This window comes from Homo sapiens, chromosome 1 (assembly GCF_000001405.40).
Source record: "Homo sapiens chromosome 1, GRCh38.p14 Primary Assembly".
In the NCBI taxonomy this organism is placed as follows: domain Eukaryota; kingdom Metazoa; phylum Chordata; class Mammalia; order Primates; family Hominidae; genus Homo; species Homo sapiens.
Window position 1 is genome coordinate 115,143,353 of NC_000001.11, and position 8,056 is coordinate 115,151,408.

Genomic DNA, 8,056 nt, shown 5'->3' on the forward strand with positions numbered 1-8,056 from the left:
TCCTTGTGATAATGATCACTACCATTTGCTGAGCACTTAGCTTACACCAGGCAAATTACACACATGATTACATTCTGTCCTCAAAATGTTCCCCAGGGAGGACCTGATATTATTTCCATTTTACAGAATTGGAAACTGAAGCTTGGAGAAACTGGGTTTAAAGAACTTGCCCAAGGGTGGGAACCAGACTAAGCTCAACATCCTGTGCCCTCCACCAAGTCTACCCAGGCAGGGGGCTGAGGTCTTGAAAGTCAAGAGGGATTTTCAGAATACCATAAAATATGACCTATTGATTTTCCTCAAATGAGCAAAGAACAATTTCCCTAGCAAACAAATGATTATATTCTGTGCACACATTATTAAACCACAAGCAGCCTGGGGCCACAAAAAAGCCAGGTGTTGAAGGACAAATGCACATTGGTTTCTGAGTTTTTTTCATTAATAGTTTCTACTCATTCATTGTTTTGTCTTATGCTAGTTCTGGCTAACAGGCGAGTGGTAACAGGCACTGAGGGTGGAACAAAAATTGAAAAAAGTCTATATGTTCAATTTTTTTTTAGTGCATCAGGAAAGCTGATAATATTTAAGCAGTGTACCCCCCAGGCGTGCTTCCAGAACTCCACCGTTATTGATTCTGAGCAATACTGAGCGTGAATGTTGAAAGCAGGTGTTTGCGGGGGAAGGCTTGTTCCAAAGAATGATCTTTCTTCTGAGGTCTGACGATGCTGCACACCATTTTATGGGCAGATAATTTATCTCCTGTGTCCTTTTGCTTGAGGTTATTACCAAATTTGAAATGCTCAAGGACACTCTTGGGCCTATGAATGTGGCCTGAGTGTGCTAGAATAGGGGTGGAGGTGGAAAGGTGCTATTTCCCTGGAATTTTAGAAACGGTTTGGGATAATGCCTTAAGTGGACCACTGCACTCCCAGAAATTACCTAGTTAATCATCTTCTTCTTGGGAAGTTCTCCAACAGGAAGACTCACAGACCATCATTTTCTCTAACTTGCAAACATTCTCCCTGGGGGAGAACAAGAGCACTCTGGTGTGTCTTCCTGTCATCATTCCTCACAAGGGCTTTGAAGGTGTGAGCACTGCAGATTCCCACAGTGTTCGGAAGGATAGGGCTCTCTCTGCTTTACTGCTGTTATTATGCACAAGATCAGCTCTGTTGACAAAATCTCATGTGGACCTCCTGTTACTCCCTTCCTTTGGATGGTAAGGGTGGGTGCATGCGTTGGGTGGAGGAATGATACCAAAGCTACAGCAATGCCAGTGCATTTCTCCAAATCATCTCTATTAAGTCTCTGGAGTGAACAGGGACTGGGCCCCAGATGATAAGGCACTAATGAAATGATTGTGCTGTACTTTGCACTTGTGTAAAAGAACAGATGTTAAATAACAACAATAATAATAGTAATATGATTTTGGTTTGGAGCTGAGGCCTCAGAATTTCAGAGATGGAATGCATATGGAATACATTCATAGCTCTGTATAATACTCTACAAACTGATTGGGTTCAGATGAGAAACATTTGTCAGCGAAGTTCCCATTACTGGTTGGGGTGGGGTCTGATTTGGGCTTTTACTGGAGGGGCTGCCTTAGGAGACAAGATGCTATTGTTAGCTGTGACAGTGGGAAATGTACTGCAGGCAATTCTCTTTATCTTCACATATGTTCTAAGCCAAGGAATTGTTGAAGTGGTTTGTTTCAGTCTGCTATACAGAAGGTGTGATGGATCAAATAGGAAATTCTTAGTAGGAGATCTGCTCAAGTTGCATATAGGTAATGAGAATTTTAGATTTCAAGTTCAACCCCATAAGGCCCCCGCTATTCTCTTGCCAGTAATGGGATATTGACTTTGGTGAAGTTATTGCAGGTTTGGGTAATCTAAAAGACCATATGTGATGAGTTCCAACATACTGATGGTTGGTTGTGGTAAATTGTGGTGGTGTTTGGGTGCAGTATACATAATAACAAAGCCTCTGTCATTCTAGTGTCTGGGCTGGGCACCACTTTCATGATAAGGTAAACCACCATGTGACTACATGTTTGCTCTGGGAAAGAGAAAGTTGAAGGTTTCCCCAGAGGGCTCTGTCCCTGGAGTTTCCCGGTCCTCTGTGGTTTGGCTTCCCCACTTGGGTGGTCTTAGTGATCTGCTGTTTTTATCCAGTTTCCTTGCTTCTATTTTAATCATCATCACTACCAGTCATTGTTGTATGTTCCAGTGGAAATTTTACAAATATTTGAAAATGAAATTGAGTTAGAGGTTTATCAAATAGAGATGTTTGCTACAGTTAGGGAGTATTTTAACATACGCATAAAATTACAAAGTCAAAGTCTATTTTAAGCAGGTTTATCCTTTGTGACATGAATTGGGTTTTCAAGTTTTGTTTTATAAAACTCAGCTTTTGCAGAACTTCTCGGGGGTATGGGTAGATAAGAGACCTTCAAAGAGTCTGGAGGAGAAGGGTGCTGGGAGCTGGAGCCAGTGGGGTGCTGTTGAGGAAGAAGTCAACAATGGGAAAATGGACAATTAACAGACGTTAGACATTCAGATGGATGATGTAACAACCACCATTATTGTAAAAAAAAATCATCATTGATATGATCTTTTATCTAGAAAAACCTAAGTACTCCACCAAAAAACTCTTACATTTGGTAAATGAATTCAGTAAAGTTTCAGTATACAAAATCAATGTATAAAAATCAGTGGTGTTTTTATACACCAACAGTGATTTGGTTGAGAACCAAATCAAGAAGGCAATTACAGAAGCTACACATACACAGAAACCCTAAGAATATATTTAACCAAGGAGGTGAAAAGATCTCTACAAGGAAAACTACAAAACCCTGAAATTATGTTGACATAAACAAATGGAAAAACATCCCATGCTTATGGATCAGAAGAATTAATATTGTTAAAATGACCATACTACCCAAAGCAATAAACAGATTCAATGCATTCCCTATCAAAATACCATGCCATTTTTCACAGAATTAGTAAAAAGAATCCTAAAATTCATATGGAACAACAACAACAACAAAAAAAACAGCTCAAATAGCCACAGCAATCTTTAAGCAAAAAGAACAAAGCTGGAGGCATCACATTTTCTGACTTCAAATTGTACTACAAGGCTATAGTAACCAAAACAGCATGGTGCTGGTATAAAAATAGACAAATCAATCAATAGAAAAGACTAGAATACCCAGAAATAAATTTGCATATTTACAGCCAACTGATCTTTGACTAAGTTGATATGAACATACACTGGAGAAAGGACACCCTTTTCAACTAATGTGCTGGGAAGGTGGACTTGCCATATACAAAAGAATGAAACTGGATCTCTATCTCTCGCCATGTACAAAAATCAACTCAAGATGGATAAAAGACTTAAATGTGAAACCTGAAATCATAAAAGTAAAAGAAGAAAACCTGAGGAAAACTCTTCTGGACATTGGTCTAGGCAAAGAATTCATGACTAAAACCTCAAAAACACAGGCAATAAAAACAAAAATAGACAAATTAGACTTAATTAAACTAAAAAGCTTCTACACAGCAAAAGAAATAATCAACAGAGTCGACAACCTGTGGAGCAGGATAAAATATTTGCAAACTATGCATTCTATACATCTGACAGGAGACTAATATCCAGAATTGACAAGGAACTCAAACAACTCAGTGACAACAGAACCCCCAATAATCCCGTTAAAAAGTGATCAAAGAACATCAGTGGACATTTTTCAAAAGAAGACATATAAATGGCCAACAGACATATGAAAAAATGCTCAACATCATAAATCATCAGAGAAATGCCAATTAATACCCCAATGAGATATCATATTAGACCGGTTAGAATGGCTATTATCGAACAGACAAAAAAATAACAGATGATGGCAAGGATGTGGAGAAAAGGGAGCTCTTATACATTGTTCATGGGAATGTAAATTAGTACAACCTATATGGGAAATAGTATGGAGATTTTTGAAAGCACTAAAAATAGAGCTACCTTTGGATCCAGTAATCCCACTTCTGTCTATCTACTCAAAGGGAAGAAATTATTATATGAAAATATACCTGCACCCATATGTTTATCACAGCACTATTCATAATAGCAAAGATGTGAAATCAACCTAAGTTTCTGTCAGCAGATGATTAAAGAAAATGTGGTATATATATATACATATATATATATATATACATATATATATATATATATATATATGCAGTAAAATACTACTCAGCCATAAAAAAGAATGAAATTATGTCTTTTGCAGCAGCATGGATAGACCTGGAGGCCATTATCTTAAGTGAAACAAGTCATACACAGAAAGACAAATATTACATGTTCTTGCTTATAAGTGGGAGCTAAATAATGTGTATATCTGTACATAGAGTGTGGAACGATAAACAATGGAGACTCAGAGGGTAAGGGGGTGGGAAAGGAGGATGAGAAATTACTTATGGAAGATGGCTGAATAGGAACAGCTCCAATCTACAGCTCCCAGCGTGAGCGACGCAGAAGACGGGTGATTTATGCATTTCCATCTGAGGTACAGGGTTCATCTCACTAGGGAGTGCCAGACAGTGGGCGCAGGTCAGTGGGTGCGTGCACCGTGCACGAGCCGAAGCAGGGTGAGACATTGCCTCACTTGGGAAGTGCAAGGGGTCAGGGAGTTCCCTTTCTGAGTCAAAGAAAGGGGTGATGGACAGGCACCTGGAAAATCGGGTCACTCCCACCCGAATACTGCGCTTCTCCGACGGGCTTAAAAAACGGCGCACCACGAGATTATATCCGGCACCTGGCTCGGAGGGTGCTACGCCCACGGAGTCTCGCTGATTGCTAGCACAGCAGTCTGAGATCAAACTGCAAGGCGGCAGCGAGGCTGGGGGAGGGGCGCCCACCATTGCCCAGGCTTGATTAGGTAAACAAAGCAGCTGGGAAGCTCGAACTGGGTGGAGCCCACCACAGCTCAAGGAGGCCTGCCTGCCTCTGTAGGCTCCACCTCTGGGGGCAGGGCACAGACAAACAAAAAGACAGCAGTAACCTCTGCAGACTTAAATGTCCCTGTCTGACAGCTTTGAAGAGAGCAGTGGTTCTCCCAGCACGCAGCTGGAGATCTGAGAACGGGCAGACTGCCTCCTCAAGTGGGTCCCTGACCCCTGACCCCCGGGCAGCCTAACTGGGAGGCACCCCCCACCAGGGGCACACTGCTGACACCTCGCACGGCAGGGTATTCCAACAGACCTGCAGCTGAGGGTCCTCTCTGTTAGAAGGAAAACTAACAAACAGAAAGGACATCCACACCAAAAACCCATCTGTACATCACCATCATCAAAGACCAAAAGTAGATAAAACCACAAAGATGGGGAAAAAACAGAACAGAAAAACTGGAAACTCTAAAAAGCAGAGTGCCTCTCCTCCTCCAAAGGAACGCAGTTCCTCACCAGCAACGGAACAAAGCTGGATGGAGAATGACTTTGATGAGCTGAGAGAAGGAGGCTTCAGACGATCAAATTACTCTGAGCTATGGGAGGACATTCAAACCAAAGGCAAAGAAGTTGAAAACTTTGAAAAAAATTTAGAAGAATGTATAACTAGAATAACCAATACAGAGAAGTGCTTAAAGGAGCTGATGGAGCTGAAAACCAAGGCTCGAGAACTACGTGAAGAATGCAGAAGCCTCAGGAGCCGATGCGATCAACTGGAAGAAAGGGTGTCAGGGATGGAAGATGAAATGAATGAAATGAAGCGAGAAGGGAAGTTTAGAGAAAAAAGAATAAAAAGAAATGAGCAAAGCCTCCAAGAAATATGGGACTATGTGAAAAGACCAAATCTACATCTGATTGGTATACCTGAAAGTGATGGGGAGAATGGAACCAAGTTGGAAAACACTCTGCAGGATATTATCCAGGAGAACTTCCCCAATCTAGCAAGGCAGGCTAACGTTCAGATTCAGGAAATACAGAGAACGCCACAAAGATACTCCTCGAGAAGAGCAACTCCAAGACACATAATTGTCAGATTCACCAAAGTTGAAATGAAGGAAAAAATATTAAGGGCAGCCAGAGAGAAAGGTCGGGTTACCCTCAAAGGGAAGCCCATCAGACTAACAGCGGATCTCTCAGCAGAAACCCTACAAGCCAGAAGAGAGTGGGGGCCAATATTCAACATTCTTAAAGAAAAGAATTTTCAACCCAGAATTTCATATCCAGCCAAACTAAGCTTCATAAGTGAAGGAGAAATAAAATCCTTTACAGACAAGCAAATGCTGAGAGATTTTGTCACCACCAGGCCTGCCCTAAAAGAGCTCCTGAAGGAAGCACTAAACATGGAAAGGAACAACCAGTACCAGCCACTGCAAAATCATGCCAAAATGTAAAGACCATTGAGACTAGGAAGAAACTGCATCAACTAACGAGCAAAATAACCAGCTAATATCATAATGACAGGATCAAATTCACACATAACAATATTAACTTTAAATGTAAATGGACTAAATGCTCCAATTAAAAGACACAGACTGGCAAATTGGATAAAGAGTCAAGACCCATCAGTGTGCTGTATTCAGGAGACCCATCTCATGTGCAGAGACACACATAGGCTCAAAATAAAAGGATGGAGGAAGATCTACCAAGCCAATGGAAAACAAAAAAAGGCAGGGGTTGCAATCCTAGTCTCTGATAAAACAGACTTTAAACCAACAAAGATCAAAAGAGACAAAGAAGGCCATTACATAATGGTAAAGGGATCAATTCAACAAGAAGAGCTAACTATCCTAAATATATATGCACCCAATACAGGAGCACCAAGATTCATAAAGCAAGTCCTGAGTGACCTACAAAGAGACTTAGATTCCCACACATTAATAATGGGAGACTTTAACACCCCACTGTCAACATTAGACAGATCAATGAGACAGAAAGTCAACAAGGATACCCAGGAATTGAACTCAGCTCTGCACCAAGCGGACCTAATAGACATCTACAGAACTCTCCACCCCAAATCAACAGAATATACATTTTTTTCAGCACCACACCACACCTATTCCAAAATTGACCACAAACTGGGAAGTAAAGCTTCCCAGCAAATGTAAAAGAACAGAAATTATAACAAACTATCTCTCAGACCACAGTGCAATCAAACTAGAACTCAGGATTAAGAATCTCACTCAAAACCGCTCAAATACATGGAAACTGAACAACCTGCCCCTGAATGACTACTGGGTACATAATGAAATGAAGGCAGAAATAAAGATGTTCTTTGAAACCAACGAGAACAAAGACACAACATACCAGAATCTCTGGGACGTATTCAAAGCAGTGTGTAGAGGGAAATTTATAGCATTAAATGCCCACAAGAGAAAGCAGGAAAGATCCAAAATTGACACCCTAACATCACAATTAAAAGAACTAGAAAAGCAAGAGCAAACACATTCAAAAGCTAGCAGAAGGCAAGAAATAACTAAAATCAGAGGAGAACTGAAGGAAATAGAGACACAAAAAACCCTTCAAAAATTAATGAATCCTGGAGCTGGTTTTTTGAAAGGATCAACAAAATTGATAGACCGCTAGCAAGACTAATAAGGAAAAAAAGAGAGAAGAATCAAATAGACGCAATAAAAAATGATAAAGGGGATATCACCACCGATCCCACAGAAATACAAACTACCATCAGAGAATACTACAAACACCTCTACGCAAATAAACTAGAAAATCTAGAAGAAATGGATAAATTCCTCGACACATACACTCTCCCAAGACTAAACCAGGAAGAAGTTGAATCTCTGAATAGACCAATAACAGGATCTGAAATTGTGGCAATAATCAATAGCTTACCAACCAAAAAGAGTCCAGGACCAGATGGATTCACAGCCGAATTCTACCAGAGGTACAAGGAGGAACTGGTACCATTCCTTCTGAAACTATTCCAATCAATAGAAAAAGAGGGGATCCTCCCTAACTCATTTTATGAGGCCAGCATCATTCTGATACCAAAGCCAGGAAGAGACACAACAAAAAAAGAGAATTTTAGACCAATATCCTTGATGAAC

The 8,056-nt window shown here is 40.6% G+C and overlaps 1 annotated feature.

Annotated features, from left to right (window-relative positions):
• Positions 4,810 to 5,436: an enhancer, noted in NCBI's record as "NANOG-H3K27ac-H3K4me1 hESC enhancer chr1:115690783-115691409 (GRCh37/hg19 assembly coordinates)". NCBI's record gives its function as "activates a minimal SCP1, AML or CMV promoter by ChIP-STARR-seq in naive H9 embryonic stem cells {active_cell/tissue: H9 hESC(naive)}" and the evidence as "EXISTENCE:reporter gene assay evidence [ECO:0000049][PMID:30033119]".